Source organism: Homo sapiens, chromosome 21 (genome assembly GCF_000001405.40).
Source record: "Homo sapiens chromosome 21, GRCh38.p14 Primary Assembly".
In the NCBI taxonomy this organism is placed as follows: Eukaryota; Metazoa; Chordata; class Mammalia; order Primates; family Hominidae; genus Homo; species Homo sapiens.
In genome coordinates, this window is record NC_000021.9 from 18,927,062 (window position 1) to 18,949,036 (window position 21,975).

The 21,975-nt window shown below is 33.9% G+C and overlaps 1 annotated feature.

Moving 5' to 3' along the window:
* Positions 340–518: a silencer, noted in NCBI's record as "fragment chr21:20299719-20299897 (GRCh37/hg19 assembly coordinates)". NCBI's record gives its function as "represses an EF-1alpha promoter that drives an FKBP-Casp9 reporter gene in an ReSE screen in K562 erythroleukemia cells {active_cell/tissue: K562}" and the evidence as "EXISTENCE:reporter gene assay evidence [ECO:0000049][PMID:32094911]".

The following is a 21,975-nucleotide window of genomic DNA, read 5'->3' on the forward strand; positions in this document are numbered from 1 at the left end:
GAAGAAATCAAAAAGATAGAAGGAAAAATAATTATAAGAGATATTCATTATACTTTCTTATTTTCTAGAGATCTAACACTAACCTTAGAAACTTGATTTGGTCATGGCTGCCCATTCAACAAAAGGAATATTATTTCTACATAATACAACCTTCCTGAGCATATACTTTCAAAAGGCCTGAAGCATTCCTTCAGGCATTCTGGAAAGGGGTTTCTGAGGAAAGTGAAAGGAAAGACAAGGTTGCAATGTTAATATCTAGACTTTTTGAAGACATAGTATGGTAACTTCGGGGTGTGTGTGTGTGTGTGTGTGTAGTTTCTTTTCTACCAGAAACTCATTATAGAAGGCATATTGCAGGGCCGGGTGCAGTGGCTCACTCCTGTAGTCCCAGCACTTTGGGAGGCTGAGGCGGGTGGATCACGAGGTCAGGAGATCGAGACCATCCTGGCTAACACGGCGAAACCCCGTCTCTACTAAAAATACAAAAAATTAGCCGGGCGTGGTGGCGGGCGCCTGTAGTCCCAGCTACTCGGGAGGCTGAGGCAGGAGAATGGCGCGAACCCGGGAGGCGGAGCTTGCAGTGAGCCGAGATCCTGCCACCGCACTGCAGCCTGGGCGACAAAGCGAGACTCTGTCTCAAAAATAAAAAGAATGCATATTGCATAACTTTATCACTTTAGGGATAGGGTAGCTAGATCATGATGTTTTAGCAATTTGCCGAAGGAAAGTTAGAATATTAGAAATCAATGAGTAGATAAAAACTGTATTTAATGTGCCATGAGAATACGACATGCTGCAGTATTATTTTGCAAAAAAAAAATTTTGCTTCATATAATTTTTGAAATAAACTCATACATCATTAATATATTTAACTCTATATATACATACTTTTAAGAAATATGCCTGCACACTTACACATTTTATATCATCTCCCAAGTTGGCAGTTGCCATGAGATGCTTGGAAAATCATGGTTTAATACTCAACACCATTGAAATGACGTTGTATCCCTGATAAATGGATGCATTAAGACTCTACCCAACAGGGTTGCATTTCCCACCTGCATTTTGACCAGTTTCCTTAATGACCTTGCCAGCTGATACAAATTGCTTTTTGGAGGGAGCCCAGAGGAGTGATAGCAAGCTTGAAGGTTTTGCTACATGTTACACTAGATGGCTTTTAATGGTGAAAAAAGTGGCAAATTCTGACATATTAGAAATGCCTCTTTATCTGGACAGTAGAGAACAGCACCTCTTCTTTTAAGTATCAGGGAAGGGGTGTTATTTAAAAAGAGATATGCTAAATAAAATACACTAATGAAAATGATGTGCCACTTTTTCTAGTATTTGTATTGTGACCTCTGTATAGGCTGTCCCCATTGTGATCACTTACACTTAACTAATCCAATATATTGTCTATTGTTTTCAACATAAAAACAGTATGTATTTCCAAGACAGGAGATGTTTCAATCTCATAATTAGGCATGCAAAATATTATCTTCAAATCATATGCATGAGGTCCAGGGAACAGCTGAAGATCACTGCTCCTCTTAGGTTTGTAAAGAAACATAATTTTGTGGTGTTCCAAAGTGACTTCATAATTTTGTCATGTAATCTCCTATTTTGACTTGAAAATCTATTATAAATAAAGTGATAAAGTAAAAAAACATCGGTAGCAGGAACAAGATAAAGCTAATTTGGCATTAACAACCAATTTTCATATTAATATAATTTACTTTTATATGTATCATATCAAATATAATTAAGATGTTCCAGGTCTGCTTAACGTATGAATGACTTACTGAATAGATATAAATGCCAAATAAAGCATTAGCTGATTTTATTTTAATGTAGACTCACACGCACATACACCCACACGTGCACACACATGTACATACACACACGATGTTAATTTATTTATCCTACATGACGCTGGAAATTATTCAGTCTTTTAAAATGTATTTACACAACAAATTTACATTGTTTTATCCAGATTCTATGTATATTATACATTTTTTGTCATGTACAGTCTGTTTTTTATTTCTCTATTTTTTGGCAGTCTCAGAAAATAAATGCCATCTTTACACGTACATGTATTCATCATTCCTCACCCACTCCACCAACACACAATCCCAAGAGAACAAAAAAGATGTGAAAATGAAAGTAACAGAGTGTATTACATTCCTATGAGTAACTGAAATATCTTAAAAAATAAATTGGACAGCAAAATGAAAAATGTAGAAACAGACCTAATGTTTTAAAATACAACAATCAAATGTGTAAAGGTATGATTCACTTGGGAAACATCGCATGCAATTTAAATAAAGTTTAACAAAACACTTGAGACAATAAGTTGCTTTCTGTTCAAGGAAATTTACCTTTTACCAGCCTGGCATAATGTCATCTGGCAAAATGTACCCCATTGGTATTTCCTGGAATACTTCTTTCCCCTAGAGATTCTATCAGAGTATTCTATAGTCAAACATGCATAGAAAACAGAACTATATAGAAACAAAAATACCCCCTTTAAGTCCAGACTATCACTACAGAGTATCAACACAGAGTTACAGTATAAAGTTAGAGTTATTCAAACCCCAATTGATCGATATATTCATTTCACTCACTTGATCTAAACAGATTGAAACTTTCACAGTAAAGATCCAATTTTACCTATCAATCATTGTGGCATAGGCTGTGACCAAAATTATGGGTCCAGTAGCCATTTTCAATGTAGCTCAAACATTTGGTTTCTGTGAGTAAGATATAATACAGCTAGAAAATTATAAATTGCTTTTCATTGGTTTGATGCATGAGCAGGTAGGCAATATCATAAAACTGTCTATTTCATGTGGTTAATATTTTTTGTTTCTGTAAACATTAATTCACACTTCTTTGGAAAGTTTTGCTAACAGAGAAAGAAACTAATGAAACTACTGATGGTGTCATAACTTTTTTCTAGCACCTTTTGTTGGAACATAAATATGGGTTGACATTTCTTTCATTTCCACATAAACCTGTGAAGGTTATCAAAAAACCCAAAGATGATAGGTTTAAAATTACAGTGAAGATGGGTTAATTAGTTGGAACATCATCTTGATAGGAAATTCATACCCACTCATTTGGAATTCATGTACAATTTTTGTTATGAAAGGAGGGAAAAAGTCAAAGCGCCATGGATGCCTGACAAACAACAGAGTCCTTCTCTACAAGGCTGACCTTTTTTAAAGTTTATACTTCCATTGTATGTGATGATTATAACAAGTGTTACTGTGTTCTGGCTTCTTTGTATTCAAGAATTGCAGTGGAACATTTAGATACATTGTTGGACCTCTGAAAGAACTCAAATTTTCAATCAGATAGAAATTTATATAAAATTGTACTTTAGAGATCCTTAGACACCATTTTATTTTTATAAATATTAAGATTCAGAGAAAAGGAAGCTCAGAAATGGGGTGTAAAAAATTCTAAAGAGATGATATAAATTATTATCTCAAACTCCAAATCAGCTTCCATGGCTTAGCAATAAATGCCTTCACTTTTCTCTCCTTCACATCAGGCTTCAATATTCTTTTCTAAGGAAAACTTGTTTTCAGTCATCCTTAGTCTCAACAGGGGTTGCAAATTGAAAGAGAGGTACTAGGTTTTGAAGCACAGTTGCTTTTTTAGTCATGAAAGAAAAAGAAGAGAATTGCTAATAAAGATAAAATTTAAAGTAAAGATGATATGTTTTAAAATAAAGAGTATTCAAAATGAAAATTGGCATTGCCTGCATTTACATTTTATGCTATTTTTCTTTTGATATAAGAAAGCAAAAATTTTCAATTTTTTTAATTTTTATGAAAATAACTCCCTGTCTAAACATTTTCACCTATATAAACATGTGTAGCCCATTCTAATTCGAGTACATATATATTTATTCAAATAAATATAAAATTATATATTATATATAGTTAAAATATTTTTATTATTATTCAGAAGCAATTTACAGAGCTTCTATTATGTCCAGGCATCATACAAGGTGTGTTGATATTAGGTGAATAAAATCAGACCTGGACCTTGCCTTCAAGTAGAGGAGAAAATATGTTACCTATTAACTATAACAGAAAGCAATATGGTACCATGAGCATATGCAAGAAGAGGATATAATATAGTTGATTTCCTGAGGAAATGCGATTTGAGATGGAATCCAGAGGTTGCATAGTAATTAAACAACTCAAAGCAAATAAAATTGAAGAATCCCTATAAATATTATAAGCAAGATTAGTGCATGTGAAAATCTTTTAACAGGATGTTGTAAGACACAGTCAAATGTGAACAAAGTTCAGTATGGAAAGAGAGAAGCAGGTTGTAAAAGCAACTGTTAATTTCTAACCAAAATATGTCATTCTTCTTCACACACATTCTGTCATGTTTCACACACAGCAATTTCCTGTCTTACCTTACAATCATGTATGGCCACATGACTGAACTTTAGCCAATGAAAAATGGATGGAATTTATATGTACTGATTCCAAGTGGGGTCTAGTAAACTTTCCTCTCCTGCTTCTCCAGACTGGTTGCCTTTCCACTAACTGGTTGGAGATGACCATAATGACTTTGAGCATTACGTGTTGAGATAGGCAAAGTATCCATCTGCTTCTCTTACTAAGTGACAACATGGAGTAGTATTTCTAAATCATTGGTGTGCGACAGAATCATCCACAAAATTAGTAAATCACAGATTATTAGGCTCTGCCCCAGAATTTCTTGTACATTAGGTCTAAGAAAGATCTGAGAATGTGTGTTCATAACAAGTTCCCAGGTAATAATAATGCTGTTGGTCAATGAACCACAGTTTGAGAACCATTTGCGTACAGCAGAGTACTTCCTCTCTCCTAAGAAAAATCCTGAATATTATTGAGTGTGTAAGAGAAACAGTTTATCTCTTTTTTATTGTATATATTTGTCTTGCTTGTTAAAAAGGAAACGTTACCTGAATTATCAATATGGAACTTCACGTAATATAAAATGGATAGTCTTCTTTGTAAAGATGCCTATTCTCCAATCACTACCACTGCTTTACACAGTCAGCATGTGACTCAGTTCTGATTAATGTTAGGAAAGAGGGAATTTGTTGTGAATGATTAGAAACTTTTTTTAAATTGCACATCCACATGACAGGTATTGTGGAGGTGGTCAGTTTCTGCCTTGTCTGAAGCCAGTGCCTAGACCTCCTGCAGCCACTTTGTGATAATGAGAAAAGACAAAACGAGGGCAAAGCCATGTCAATAAGTGTGACAAAGCTGCTCTTCAGAAGGGAAATCTTGCCCAGAATAATGGAATGGAGACCAGAGGCACTAACATTAGAAACCAAAACAATTCAAGGGTTGTGCTAGACGGCAATATTTCAGTGCTTCTTATCCTATTAGTTAAAAACTGTATGCATTATTATATATATGTGTGTGTGTATGCATATGTATGTTACTTTTATATATACATACTTATATATATGTTACTTTTAAGTTGCTTCTATAAATAAAATCAAGGCCAGGTGCGGTGGCTCAAACCTGTAATCCCAGCACTTTGGGAGGTGGAGGCAGGCGGATCATGAGGTCAACAGAACGAGACCATTCTGGCCAACACGGTGAAACCCCATCTCTACGAAAAATACAAAAATTAGCCAGTGTGGTGGCACGCACCTGTAGTCCCAGCTACTTGGGAGGCTGAGGCAGGAGAATCGCTTGAACTCGGGAGGCAGAGGTTGCAGTGAGCAGAGATCACACCACTGCATTCCAGCCTGGATGACAGAGCGAGACTCTGTCTCAAAAAAAAAAAATCAAATAGAACAAAGGAGATATATGCTGAAATAATGGACCATTATGTAGTTTATTCAGATGAGTACTCAATTTTTTCTTCCATGAGTAGTTACGTAAAATTTTTTCAGGGCTGCTAGAGCTGAGAAATTAATCACTCCAGCTCCAGCTGACTAAGAATAACTCATATTACTAATATCTTATAATAATTTAACTTATCTTGCAATATTTACTCTAAGGTATGTAACTTCAATTTTGCTACTATTTGAGGCATAAAATGCCATTACTTCTATTTCAAATCACTAATTTTATAGAGAGTTTCATGAATAATAGTAAAAACAAGTTATTCTTAATATATTAGAGAGCTGTAAGATTTGCATTATTGACAAGGAACTTAAATGAAAAATCTTGACTTGAGCTTTAAGAAATTATTCATCAGTTAAATCGGTTTTTCCAGAGTAAGTAACATAATTTATACAAACATGCTTGATACAAAGTACATGGGCAAAGTCTAAAGGCATTTCTGAAAGGAAAAAATAAATAAAAGTAAAAGAAGATAAGCTCGAGATAATTAAACTTCAGTGTTAATAAATCTAAAATTTTCAGTTATTCAATTTATTAATTATTAAGATCATGAATTACTAATTCTCTTTTTTCTTACAATAGATGGCATTTTCTTCCTTTTACCAAAAATCAACTCATTCATTTTTTTCTCTCGATCCCAGTCTTTCTCTTTCTCCGGAATTTGTAAATATTCCTTATTTCTACTAGGTGTTCAACCTCACTCTCTTACCTGTTTTTATCCTATAATCACTTAAAGTTCCTAGCTTTCCCATCCAAAAGTGAGAAAAGAAAAAATGCATCAACAACAGTCTGAACAATTCATTCACTCTCTCTTAGTACCTCATCTTTCTCTTCCTTTATATAGCCAGACTTACTTGAAAGTGAATATCAACATTAAAAAGGCAAATGACTACAACAGGCAACTTATTATGTCAACTGTGATGGCCTCCAAATTTCTATTTTACTTGTATACTTTTTATGTAAGCTTAGTTTTGATTATTAATCGTGTATCAATATATTTTTCTTTCTTGAAGTCATATTCTTTCTTCACCTCTCTTAATATTAGTGGAGCTTTTAATGTATCTTTAATTTGTCTGGTTTTGTTAGAGGCAGTGGGTGAAGAAATATTTTTACCTCTTAATTTTCCAATAAGGAAACAAGACCGTGAACAATATGCAAAATAGCAAGTGATATCCAACTCGGTGTCAAGGAGATTGCAAAGAACAGTTGGCACAGAAGCAAATTCTAGAGCAGTCCAACTCAAAATCACATTTGTGGACTTTGCTGACATAGACACACTTTGTCAGTGGTGCTCACAGAAATAAGTATAGAAATCATGAATAGACTTTTATCTTATCTCTTTACTGATTGACAGTTTTAAAGAGCTCTATGTGATTATCTCATTGTGAACCAATATGAAAACCAGACCCGACTCAGAGAAACAATTTCCAAAGAACACTATCTATTGAACAGAGACAGCAGGTATTCATTTGTAGCCGTTCTTATTGTCTATGGTGTAATGTGAGATAATGCGTTATTGAATTATGAGATTTTTCAAGAAAAGCCAAGGAGCTGAAAGTTTATATAAAATAATTTCACGTTTAATATTGTTAACTAATGCCATTGAAATAAAAGACTCATCATAGCGGGTTAAATGTGTTCTATAGTGCCTTTATGGTAAACAATCTTTCTCTCAATTTTCTCGCCTCCTATTCCAGTATCAAAATACTCCAAATTGTATTGTGTTTTTACATTCTAAGATTGTTCTCACTAACATCATCATTAATCTTCATGTGGCTAAATATAGTAAATATATTTTTAAATTCACCATATTCTTTACCTTAGCAGAATAGGGCACCCTTAACCTGTACTAACTACTTGAAGTATTTTTTTTCCTTCAGGTTTCCTTCCATGTCTCCAGGAGTTCCTTTTCAACTATATTTATTGCCTTTTTTTCTCCAAGTTTACTTTTAAATGTTGGAGTAAATCAACTCTCTTCCTACATTAGAATCTCATCTAAGAAGTCTCATGTTTTCTTATGACTTAATTTACCATCTGATGCAGACAGGACACATATTATATCAGAAGCCCAGATTGACATTTCTTGCATATACTAAATGCCTTTCATAAATATCATCTCCAATATATTTTATTAGTCATTAACTCTTACTTATTCCAACTCCTAGATATTGCTGATTTCAATCTAGCTTGATATACCTTTATCGTCCTTATCTAAAACAAGCTGTATTGTAAACACCCTTACTGATTACATTACCAGTAAGAAATCCAGTGAATGTATTGCCCACTTTTAATATCTTATACACAGCACAGCCAGAATAGTTTTGTTGAAAACACTCATGTGAATTAGGGAATTTGCTCTTAACATCGTTCAGTCTTCCCCTTTTCCCTTTAGAGAAACAGGAAGCACTAGCCTCCATTTCCTTACGTATTTCTCTTCAGACTTGTTTTGTGCCTTTTTCTCACTTGTCGTTTAAGATCCATCCAATGCTTGGCTTCTTTTATTTTCTCAAATGGATTTTTCGATTTCCTACCTCAGTCATTTTACTTTACCATTTTTTTGTCTTGAAATGTTCTTTTCACTTCTTCAGTTAACTCCAGCTTTTTTTTTCCGCCAAGAATCTTTCCTTCTCACTCACTCCATTTTCAAGACTTGTTGAAGTCCATGGCTTCTACATTCCAGTAGCTGCTTGGGTTTCCTCTCGATGACACTTGCATTCATTTATTCACATCTATTTTCCTCATTGCACTGTAATCTCCATGCAGGCAGCCATTGCACTGGTTTTCTCTTTCACAGCTTGAATTTTCTCCTACATAGTGTATGTCACACATATATCTGTAAAATGCATGAATAGATGTTTCCAAATTTGGGTGGAGGTGAAGCTACCTTTCTTTTATTTTTATTTTCTTCTTTCTTTTCTTTTAGCTCTACAAAATAAACAATTACTGATTACACATTTAAACTATTTTCACATGTTCTAACATATTTAACCTATTAAATATTCTATTGATATTCTCACATGATTTTACAAACCATATAAAATTTACCCTTTATTTGTTTTATTTAGCTAGTTAAGATATACATATATCTTGTTTTTAAAAAATACTGAAAAAATTGCATATGTATTTTAATTTTACTCTAACTGGTGTACTTATTCCATAAAGTTTGTCAAAAGTAACTTCTTATTACTGTATACCTATGTGTGTGTGTGTAAAAACAGATAGAATATAAAATTATTTTTAGAAAGTCAAGATTCTAGTATTGACTCCAGGTAAACATCATTGATAGTTCATTAAACTATGCTACCTTTTGATTTCTGTCCATGTAAAATGGGAAATAGAAAAATGGAACAGTCACAGCATAATTATTCAGTATTTCTAATGAACTAATAAAATAATGTGAAATTCCTTTGTTAATTTTAAAATGTTAGTCAAATTCATCCTACCATTAATTATTATTAAATTAAACTTGTAAAATGATTCCACATCTTTATTGTATATTAAACTCAGATGTAGCATTTAAATATATAAGAAAAAGAGTTACAGATTATTTGTTATACTTTTAACAATAAATGTAATATTCTAATCTTTGGAGTGATACAGATTTGGTTTTGAGGATTTTCTTTCATTTTTGCATATTTAGGCTGTTGTCTCCACTCAAAAATTCCTTACACAGTCTCACATATTTTCTCTTTAGACCAACCATCTAATTGCCATTTTTATTCTTTGCTTTATAATAGCTGTCATTGGATAATGGAAGAATCAATCAAACTTTTTTTCCTTCATGTCCCTGCAGCAACAGAACTTTATTATTTTTACTTCAGTGACACTGAGAAGCTTGAATCAATATTGACAAAACATCAAGTCTTTTTGAAAAACTGCTATGATAGCACTCAAAGCTTAACCATTTCACATCTTTTATAGCCATGGAAACTCAAAATTTATTTTTCTCACAAACACATACATCTTAATCCCTTGGAAAATCATTCTGCTGCATTTGAAATGCAGTTACCATAATTGACTTTCAAGGCACAGAACTGGGATTCATCTCCATATCTGAGAATAGAATCAAGCCCTAAACAATTGGAACTTTATAATCAGGTTTTGAAGATTAATGTTTCTTTAGAAGGGGAAGCTGGTCTTGGAAGCAATCGGATTTTCTTCCTGCTATTGATAGAAAAGTTGAGTTTCTAGCTGAACTAGTAGAAAAATTTATTTATTGATAAGTGGACACTTTAGCCCTGGAAACAATTTACACTTAACCCTTATTGTTCATTGATATTGATCACTTGAAAACGCTCTGAACCACATGCATAACAAAACCTCTTCCTATTGAACTACTATTAATATTATTCAATATATTTTAATTTTTAAGCAGTAAGATGAATAATATAATACCCTGTTACTTAAATAGCTCACATACTTTACTATCCAATTCTATGATTACTCTAATAAATTATCTCAAAATCCAGCATCAGATCCCGGAAGCTGTTTTGTGGTTTGGTTCGTTTTGTTTGTTTTGGTTTGTTTCTTTGGCTCTTTTTGCCCTTTAGTGCTGAAAAAAAAATTATGTTACTTAACTGAATCTCCAGCGTTGCCATTGAGTAATGCTCCTCAAACAGGACGTATCACTCAATAGTTGATCTCATACTTAGTTATGAGCTTAAAACTTGAAAAGAGACAGAAAATCTGTAATGCAGTAAATGGGAAATCGGACTATGGAGCGTGAATGCATAAGGATATTTGTTTTGTGAAATTCATTTACACGAGTCTTCTTTGGTCTTCAAAGCAACATGTGTTTTCACTAAATACACTTGTGCTAAGTACACAGCCTGTGATGCTGGCATCTTCCTCCTTTTACAAGTATGGATCCTAAGTCAAATCTCATTACACAGTGCAGCATAACAGTTGATAGATTTCTAACTGTAACGTAGGCCTCCCAACCATAGTTCCAGGGTTCTTTGTATTATAGCATACTGCCTATTCCAATTTAAATATAAGTGTGGAGGTTCTCATCCTCTGTTCTTTCCTGAGTTTTGAGTTTATGTGCCAATTATTATTTTTTTTTTCTGAATCCCTCGCTCTACTTTCTCTTCTTTGTAATCAGTGGCTTTAATATCTGAGATCACTGGCTTCTGTGTAAGAAAGCGTTACACAGAACGCTTTAAAACTGAATAGTATTTAGTGTTTTTAAAACTAAATAGTACTTAGTGATTTGCAAACTGTTGGATATTTAAATTGATGTGATTGTCATCAAAACTTTAAAATTAAAAAAAAATTTAAATCATGGTGCTTTTAAAAACCACTGAGAGTAAATACTTCTATATGTGTCTTTTAGTTATGCAGGATTGTACAGGCATCCAAACTATGTTCTCATAAAACCAATTTTATTTTTTAAATTTATTTTTTCATTAAAGCCAATTTTAATGTGTTTCAGTTCATGGTTGAAATGTTTCTTGATTTTTATGTATGACTCATAATAATACCTGAATTAATCATGGGGCCTGGAAAATTAGTAATAGCAGTTCTAAAAGGGAAAATAGGTCTATTATGTATGTGTGTGTGTGTTTGTATGTGTGACACACATTTTTACACATTTAACAGAGAGATGAATTCTTATATCTATACCTATTTATTAATCTATATAAAAGTAAATGGCACATCCTTTCAAATTAGCCTCATTTAATATGTCTGCATCTATATTATCATTTAAATTTTCTTTTTTAACAGCTATGTACTGAAAACAAATTCAGACTTGGTTTTCTCACATGGCAAAAATGAACCCCTCACTTTCAGTTTATATTGGTCTACGTATACAGTGGCTTGCTGAAGGATTTTTGCGCAAATAAGTTAGAACATAAGTCAAACCTCTTGTTTCAAAAGAGTCAAGCATGATAGAAAACACTAAATTTATTTAACCTCCATGTTCCATCTAGCAGAATTAAACTTTCCAAAGAGGAAAAACATAGATTGATGTTTTTAAAATTACTACAGGGTAGAAACTATGCTTCTAGTACTCTACAATAAGCCAAACTTATTGGCAGAAATTGTCCATAAAATTGACATTTTTAAGCAAATTTACATTCCTTCATCAGTGTTATGCATGCCATTGCAGACAAAGTTGATGATTTGAATTCATAATTGATTTATGAGTGTCATAGAAATGAGGCAGAAAATATTGGACTTTGTTGCCAAGGAGTTCATTTTGGGCAACCAGTAATTACACTGAGGATTAGATTGTATGAATTTGGAAAAGTGTAGAAGAGTCCATGACATCAGTAATTACAATGAAAATAAAATGAATATCTTATGGAATATGCTTTCATATATAATTCCTCCTCTGGATATTGTATTTTCTTTATGTCCATTTTCAGAGCTGGCTCATATTACTCTATTGACATCTGTTTTAAAGTGGAGTAAGAAAAAAGAACTAAAGTAAATTTTTCTTTAAACTTCATACATGAAAATAAAAGTAAGTTGAGGATGCAATTTTTAAATTAATATGAATGCACTTCCATAAACACAATCTCTGTCATTAATCTATCTTTCTGTTAATGACTGGCCAGCTGAAAGTTGGCAAATTCATTCATTTTAAATGCTAGAGGCATTAAAAGTTCTTGTTGAATAGGTTATTTTGTTTTATCGGTTAAACATGCACATACATATACACATGTAAACATTTTATTCATTCTATAGTTCAGAAAGTTTTAACAATAAGATGTTCAAATCTTACTGTCAGCAGCAACTCTACAACTAAATCATCTTTTTAGTAGGAAGCTCCAAAGTTAAACACAGAGTTTTTAGGAATATTGAAATTTCCTTTAAGCCTTGCCACACGTCATTCAAGTCAGAATATTTGATATCACTTTATTATAATTTTAAGGAAATACAATTTATATATATTTTTTAAATGATAAATTCAACTAATTATAATTTAAGTGCATGAATAAAATAAGTATATTTATAAGGTTGGTTACATACTATTTTCAGAATGAAATACTCTTCCAGCCATGTCAAAATTTTGCCTGATGTCTCCTAAAATGTTTATTTAGTGATGGGAACTAAAAATGTTTTAAGTCACCCACAAATTGTTTTGCTTATGACCAGTAGATCAATCTTAGTAAAGAGATGTTTTCAAAATGTCAGTGTCTATTTCAAGAATCTACAATCACTCTCACTTTTTTATAAAATAAAGTCCAAAATAAAATTATCTTAAAATGGATTTACCTTCGTGGATATTTGTGCTTTGAACATTTATACTCGGAATTTTTTTTGAGATGGAAAAAAAATAACCTGGAAGATATTAATAAATTATTTCCCCACTGTATTGGAAAGTCCAGTATAAATGAAATAAAAGCAGTGTCACCATAAACAGGAAATAAGTGGTGTCTATTCCAAAAATATGAGTATAAGAACAGTAAGTTTTGATATATTTGGAATTGTGTTTTCATGGCCAGTAAATGTGCATATCTAAACTCTTAAATAAATGGCATCTATCACTTCAAAAGGTGAATGAAAACTATCAACAATAAAAGGGTCATTGTAACTTGAGTTTCCAAGCTGGCTTTATTTTTCAAACCATAGAGAGGCCTCATCTTAAGAGACAGCTATTTCCCTGAAAGAAAAGAGAGGTTCAAGTTCATTAAGAGACCCTTCCATATCTGAAGTGTAGGTTGACAACCTTCATATAGAAAAGGGAGAAATCAGAGTATTTTATTAATATAAAAGGAAATCCAACCCGACAGAGGTGGTGGAAAACCTATTCATTATTGTTCCATAGATAGAGGAAAGAAAAAGAGAGAAAAACGATAATACATTTACTCTAAGAGATCAGTGTCCTTGTTTTTTTCTAATTCTCTGAAAGGACCCTTAATAGGGGTATGAAAGAAATACACAGACACAGTTTAAGGAAGCCTAGGGCATCAGTGATGCTGGCTTGCTTTGCTTAGAAGAGTCTGGAGATTTGTATACTTCATGATAAAGCCTCACATCCTCACATTCAGCTTGGCACAATACCCTGTATGTAGTAATAGTGAATCATTGTCCAAGGAAAGTGTTCAGTTGAATGAGTCTGTGGAAGATCTCATGGCTCTTGAGACACCGGGAGTGATGCATAGGTAATCCAGAAGTTCATGCACGCTCAGGGTCATACATGAGCTGAGAGGAGCCACGAACAGCAAATTTAGAAGCCGAAAAACAGAGTTCACAACCTTTGTGATCAGAGTCAAATATACTTCATTTTCAGTGTTATGAAGAAAGAACCAGTTAAGACCAGTCCCATCTCATAGATACCAGTTCAGTGATAAAAATAGACAAACTGTGAGACAAAAGTGGATTTGTGGCACTTCTATGTTACTGCCATCAGACCCCATCCCAAATATAACCAGATACTATCCTAGAGGTAAGTAGGAGGTGATGGCGGAAGGATGATGTGAAAGCATGAACAATAATCATGAGGCAGTTTACATAGAAGAAGCTGAGACGTAATTAGTTTGCAAGTTGAATTCTCCTCTTTACCTTAATAAGGTGATTATCCAGAAGACAAATTAAGCACATTTCAGAAAATACAGAAACTAAATTTTATTTGAACGTTTAAATTGTTAACTCTTACTTGTTCAATAGTATGTTATTTTCCTATTGCTTCTATAGCAAATTACCATACATTTAGTGGCTTAAAACGACATAAATTTATGTCTACAGTGCTATGGGTCAGGGGTCACCAACGGCTGGGCCACAAACTGGTACTGGTCTGTGGCTTGTTAGGAACCAGGGCGCACAGCAGGAGGTGAGCACCAGGCAAGCAAGCAAAGCTTTCTCTGTATTTTCAGCCTCTCCCCATTGCTTGCATTGCTGCCTGCGCTCTGCCTCCTGTGAGATCAGCAGTGGCATTAGATTCTCACAGGAGCAGAAACCCTATTGTGAACTGTGCATGGGAGGGATCTAGGTTGTGCTCTCCTTATGAGAATCTAATGCCTGATGATCTGTCACTCTCTCCCACCACCCCCAGGTGAGACATCTAGTTGCAAAAAAACAAGCTCAGGGCTCCTACTGATTCTACGTGATGGTGAGTTGTATAATTATTTCACTGTGTATTACAATGTAATAATAGTAGAAATAAAGTGCGCAATATATGTAATGAGCTTGAATCATCCCCAAACCATTCTCCCCAACCCCAGTCCATGAAAATTTGTCTTCCACAAAACTGGTCCCTGATGCCAAAAAGGTTGGGGACCGCTGCTATAGGTCAGAGGCCTCAGTTGGCTAAAATAAAGGTGACAGTGAGGCTTCATTCCTTCTGAAAGTTCTCGGGGAGAAACTGTTCCCTTACCTTCTCCAGCTTCAGAGACTGCTTGCATTCCCTTGTTCATGACCTTTTGCTGCATTTCCAAAGCCAGCAATATAGCATCTTCAAATCTCCCTCTCTCTCTCTCTCTCTCTCAATCTCTCTCTCTTGCACTCCTGCTTCCCTTTTAAAAGGACTCTTTTGATTACATTGGTACCAGGGCGATAATCTAAAATAATCTTTCCATCTCAAGGTCTTTAATCACATCTCCAAAATTCTTTTTGCCATGTAAATTGACATATTCACAGTTTTGGGGGATTAGAATGTGGATATCTTTGAGAGAGATACTTTCTGCCTATCACAAATGTGACATGTATATAAAAAAATCCAAACATTCTTCCTAGCTCACAGGGATCTTTACTTAAATATTAAGAAAAGAATTGAGATTTGTTGGATAAAGAATAAATATATCACACATATATTGGGTTAGAGAATTTACAACTTATTCATTCCAAGATCACCTACAAAAATTGAAATTAAGTTCTGTACTTAAGTACACAGTTGCGGCTTTTGGAGCCTTTTGTTCATCCCCCACAAGATTAATTTAGAGCTCATTTTATTCTTTGATGTGTGTTGAAGGTAAATAATATAGAAAACTGGTCAGAGATGACAAATTTTTTCTTAATATCTATACTCCTCATCATCATAGGTCACAAAACACAGATTTTTGTTCGGCAATATTTCCAAATTTAATAAAGCTTATATTTCTCAGCCTCAATTTCAAATAGGTATGGCCATGTTATTAGATTCTGAATGAAATTTATGTAAAGTAGTCTATCAGATGTCCATGGACAGCTCTTTAAGAATAAAAAAAAGAATGTCTTTCTCTGTTATTTCCTCCTGGAAATTGCTACAGTTTTGTGTTATAAGGCATTATCTAAGAACGTAAAACAGTAAGACAAGGGGCCCTGAGGTAGTTTACCTCCAAAATGTCTACCTTTTCATTTCTATTTATGAGAAAAAATAAACTTTTATCCATTTTTACCACTGTTAGTTTGAATTTATATGTTGTATGTAATTGAATTTAAATCTAACTAAAGTAGGCCTCATAACGGATCAAAAATCTATTATGTCAGTGAAAAACTTCGCGCAGCAAAGTAACATTTCTATACTAAGTGAACAGTCAAACCTGAAAACTTCTTTAATGAGTGGTTGCTAAGATTATGGAGACGTGAGTACAGTTAAGAGGGCAAACAAGAATAAATGGGTTTCTCCAAACAAAGAGATAATATTGTAATAAATGAGTTTATATTGCAATAGCTATATATTTTTCTCATACTTTTAAAATCTGTTAGCTAGTCTATAGAAACACAAGAACAACATAAAAGTGAGTCCTAAACTCAGCTTTCATGATAGCATCTAGCTGTTAGCTATAGATTAAAAGACCACAAGAGTGTGAGATGATGATGTACCTCCTAATTCGCTAGAGGACCTCATATGAGATGCCCATCTCCCAGTTGGCAAGAAAGTGGCAGAGCCACAGTAACTGAAGAAGCTATGACACATGGGACAAAGGAATACCTTGTTAGTAACTAGATTTGTGTAAAGGGTGCTAAGAGTAGAGTTTAAATGCCTGCACCATTGAATTTATAGATTAATATGCATTTCTTTTTAGTTTCATAGTAGTAGACTATACATATATTTCTATTGTGAGAGCCTGAATGTTATATTTTTGGGCCCCTTAAAATTAAAGAAGAAGGTTCAATATTCAAGTTTATTTCTGAGTGCTATATTTTTTATCATCTACTCAGGCATAGCAGTGGGCATTTTATTAAAAGAATTATTCAAATTATTCATATTTTGAACCTACATTACCCACTTGTAATGTTTTCCTTATGTAATCTGTAGCACTTTCTGTAGGATCAATCTTGTGTGGTCCTCAGTGTGCCACGCCCCTGCACCATTGCTCACACAGCTAATCCCCCAGTTAATACCCTTCGCATTCTTATTCATTTTATTTCCGAATTTAAGAAGGTGGGAAAATATTTTATGAATAACTTCAGCAGAGAATATTCAAAAGTCTCTGGGATTATATTAAAATTTTATACAGGTTCTTCAGAAGATATCCATTTTGTTTCTCACACACACACACACACACACACACACGCACACACACACTGCTGCAAAGGTTAAATAGAAACAGAAATTTCCAAAATTTCTTGCATTATGTAATTTAAAAAACATGGTGTAATCTCCTAGCCACATTCCAAATTACTAAATTTCACTCCAGAATAGATGATCAATACACAGGTAGATAATAGATAAACAAATATGCAGACATGTACATGTAAATTAAATATATATTTTTTATTTATATTTGGCAATTTTATAGAAAAACACATATCTACATCTGTATCTGTAGCTATATTTACATGTAGTCTAAGTTCGTATTTATTTTTATATTTCACCGTCTTACATGTTTATTTACGTATTACATTTTCATTAAAATTTCCTGTCCATTTTCCATTAACTTACCAAATGTACATATTTTTCCCTCTTGGGTTCTGGCATTCTTGTCATATTTATGAAGTTCTTTCTTATCCTATGTTTATATACACAATTAAATATATTGACTTCTATTTATATTTTAGAAATATTTTATATTTAATTTTTCTAGAATGCTTTGATAGCAAATGAAGAGCTACCTTTCCCAATAAAATATACCTTAACACTTATTTTTGAACAAATCTCATAATATCTGTCACCAGCTTCTACTGTACTTTCAGAAATGATTTTCATTTTATAAGGAATTGCCATTTCTTTGAGGCAAAGTGACAGGTAATTTTTCAGTTAGTAAATTCATCCATAGGGAACATATTTTTGGCTCCCCAAAATCTTTACTGAAACCACATTTACTCCTCAACTTTATTTTTTTTCTAACACATGTATCACCCAATCCTGAAATGTTCATTTTCTCAAAAATTACAATCCCAAGCTCAGCAATATCACTGCCATACCTGCCCAGCTTGTGAGTTCTTCTCAAACCTGTCAGCCTGGGTCAGGATGCCTCTTCCACTTTCCCACTGAATTCCAATGGGATGACAGTTCTGTTAAAAGTGTGCCTTCTGCTGAGGTCCAGGCAGAAACATAGGATTTTAACCAGTACAGGTGAGCACAGAAATCTGAATAACCTCACAAAATATAGCCAGAAGAAATTCCCAGCCCTATGTGGCCCTATTTCGACATTCAAAAAGAACCATCCATTAATCAAAAGTAGTTTAAAATAATTCTAATATTCTTGTGTCTCTTGAAACTCAAAGTACAGTACTTCACAGATGCTGTGTTGCTCTTCCTCTTGTTCTCCACATGGCTCATCCATGAAGGGGCCTTGAACCTCTCTCTGCCTCTAACACACTTCCCTTCACTCAACGTCACTCACAGGACCTGGCCACCTGGCCCTCTGCTTTCCTCCTTTTTTCTATTTCTTTCCATTTTCTTTTTTTCTCAGTAGCAAATATGTCTGTGCCTACAAACACCCCATTTTCACTTTTGTCCTATCCCGCTCTAATTAATTTGATTTGCATCATAAATTATAACTCTGTGTGTGTGTGTGTGTGTGTGTGTGTATGAGAGAAAGAAAGAGAGAGAGAACCAAGTAGTAATTACCAAAATGTCCTTCATAGGTACAGCTTAGTAAGTCTATCAATCCTAATATGAATTTTTGGTCTATTTTTATTATTTGCTGTATTGCATCTTTATATAACAATATGGGAATATAGATAGAGACATACTTCCAGCTCCAATTTCTCATTATAAAAGATGAGAATTTAATATAATTTTGCTTTTATTTTAAAAAAGAAAATGAACTCTATAACTATGCCTCAAGTATGGCTTAAGAATTCAAAGATTCAAATTATATTTTACTTGCACATTTTCAGTTTACAGATTTTGAAATTTAAAAGAAAGATTTATTTGGTATTCCTTCTTAATTAGAATGACTAATGTTTGTTCTCTTGGGTTTGTCTGTTAATAATTTGATTTAGGTGCATCTGTCATACAATTTAGAGACTAATATTTTTTTAACCCCAATTGAAGTTTTGGCCTTTATTGTGGAGGTTAAAATGCTGATATTATTGTTTTAATGTGTTTATTTTGTTCTTACTATCTTTGTAGACTTGTGTTTTTCCACCTTTTCTTTTCATTGTTTATAGTTTTTAATTTTAATAACATGTTCTTATTTTTTCAGTACTATACAAGCAATACATCCTGTTTTTAAAATGTAAATACAATTATTTACATTTAATTCTTTAAGCAACATATTACTAATTGTTAAAATACTGAATGATATTATGCCTTTTGTGTGTTCATAGTATATTTAAGTAGTTTAACATATTTTTGCCAACAATTTTGCTCATTCAAAGCATTGGTAACTTTCAATAAAATTGAAGTGCTGAATCATAATTAATTTTTAATATTTTTACAGTGTATAGTTTCTTGTTTTGTACTATACTTGGCTTTAATGTTGCTGAAAACAAGAGTAATCTCAGACCAATATACCTTACTGTGGAGATTATATATATATATTGCTATTGTGAATAGTGCTTCAATAAACTTGCATGTGTATGTGTATTTATACTAGAATTATTTATATTCCTTTGGGTATATACCCAGTAATGGGATTGCTGGGTCAAATGGTATTTCTGGAATGTCTTTCTGAGCTGTGTAAAAAGGCAAGGACATTTTTAATGTATTTTATGGATAATGATATTTGAATCTTAATAACATTCTTACTTATATGCCATATACTCTGTTAATTGATTTATCATTAATGTTCCACCTGTTCCACCAAATTCTCCTCCAAACTCCATTGGAACAAGTTATTTCTATGACGAGATACTTATTAACATCATTTACAGATGAGTGAACTAAAACTTAGACTAAGAAATTTGCACATATGCAATTCTAGAAATTGGCAGAATTTCAGTTTGTTACAGGAGGTAGCTAGTCAGGCGTGAGCAGAGCAGGGGAGGACTCCACCCACCCCCCCACCAGGAAAGTCTGATGACCAGCACGTGATGGTCAGGCTGTTGTTAACTGTCTCTATAAAATACTAATTGGTCACAGCCAGCACCAGAAAAAGGCAGTCTCCCTATAGATAGGAAACACTTGAAGCTGGTGATCAGCAGCTTCCTGATAAGATCTCATGAGCTGGCTGAATGGGCTCAAGCATGCTCATTAAAAAGCAAAATGGCGGAGTTTAACTGGTATATGACCCTCCAGGGTTATGCTGCAGGTAAAGGGAAGAAGCTTCCAAGGAAAGCTTCAGGTGAGCACGCATAAACTCCAGGAAACACACTGAGCAGACTCACCTCCCAAGTGCCAGCAGGTCACCGCGCATGCGGGAAGGTCACCCCAAGGGAAGAATCAATGGAAAAGGGACACAAAGGTGCCGGAAGCAGGCCAACATATAAAACCCTAAGTCCAAAGTCACATGCGGTGCTTGTCCTGCAAGAAGAGGTCAGCTTGGCCCTCTTCTAAGTGTACCTTTCTTTTTATTCCTGCTCGAAAGCTTTTTAATAAACTTTCACTCCTGCTCTAAAACTTGGCTCCGTCTTCTTTTTCTGCCTTATACCCTTCAGTCTAATTCTTTCTACTGAGGAAGCAAGAATTGAAGTTGCTGCAGACCTGTACAGATGCGTTCCACCAATAATAATTTGAGTCAGTGAACGGGAGATGGAAAAAAGTAAGTAGATTTGAGGGCTATTTTTAAAAGTATAACTCTGTTGGTTACAACAGTACTCTGTGATGATTCAACATTGAAGAGAAGAAAGAGAGAGGAGACACAATAAAGCTCATGTTTCTGGCTAAAGAATCCAATTGTGTATTATTTACATTTATTGAAAATTTTTAATATTTTATGGCACCATTTATTTTGATCCTTCATTGAACCCTCTGGTATTCCTATTTTCTTCTCCCTTTTTCTGAAATATTTTACTTTTGCAGTGTCATCCTCCCCTGTTTCTGCTTTACCTTAAGCATACTATAAAAATGGATTCTTTCTGAACATACGTAGGTCACCGTCCCTATCTATGTAGTACTGCATTTGCAGTTCTGGTACACAGCTTATGAGAAAGCACTAATGAAAATCTCACATTCAAGGTTCAGTTTTTAGTAGGCTTCCATTATTTCGTAAGTCTGTTTGATCTTACTGACTTTCTCTGCCATCTCTCAAACTAATTATTTTTATTTTTAAGACAGTCTTTCTTTGGAGTGCAGTTGCATGATCTTAGCTCCCTATAACCTTGAACTCCTCACCTCAGCCTCCCAAGTAACTATGACTGCAGGTGTGCACACCATGCCTGGCTAATTTTTTTTTAATTTTTTTATAGAGACAGGATCCTGCACAGGCTAGTCTTGGAACTCCTGGCCTCAAGCAATCCTCCTGCCTCAGCCTCCCAATGTCCTGGGATTACAGGTGTGAGCTGCAGAGCATGTCCAGTTTCTTCAATGCTCTACATTATCAGAATATTTTAAAAACTACATTTCCTACAATGTCTTGGCAACAATATGTTTCTTATCCCTACTCCTTCACAGAGTGAATCCTTTGTATGGAGGTAATGTCCTAGAAAATAGTGCAATTGCCAATCTGTTCAGCCTGTGCTGCTTCTATCCTGATCCCTACATCGAACTATACACAGACCTTCCAATGATCTGTTTTGTGGAAGTTGTCATTACTGATGGAAGAAGTATAGGGTATCTTCCTGTTTTTATTTAGTTAGACTATGTTTTATGAGGTCAATTCTGTATTATATTTGATTCCAA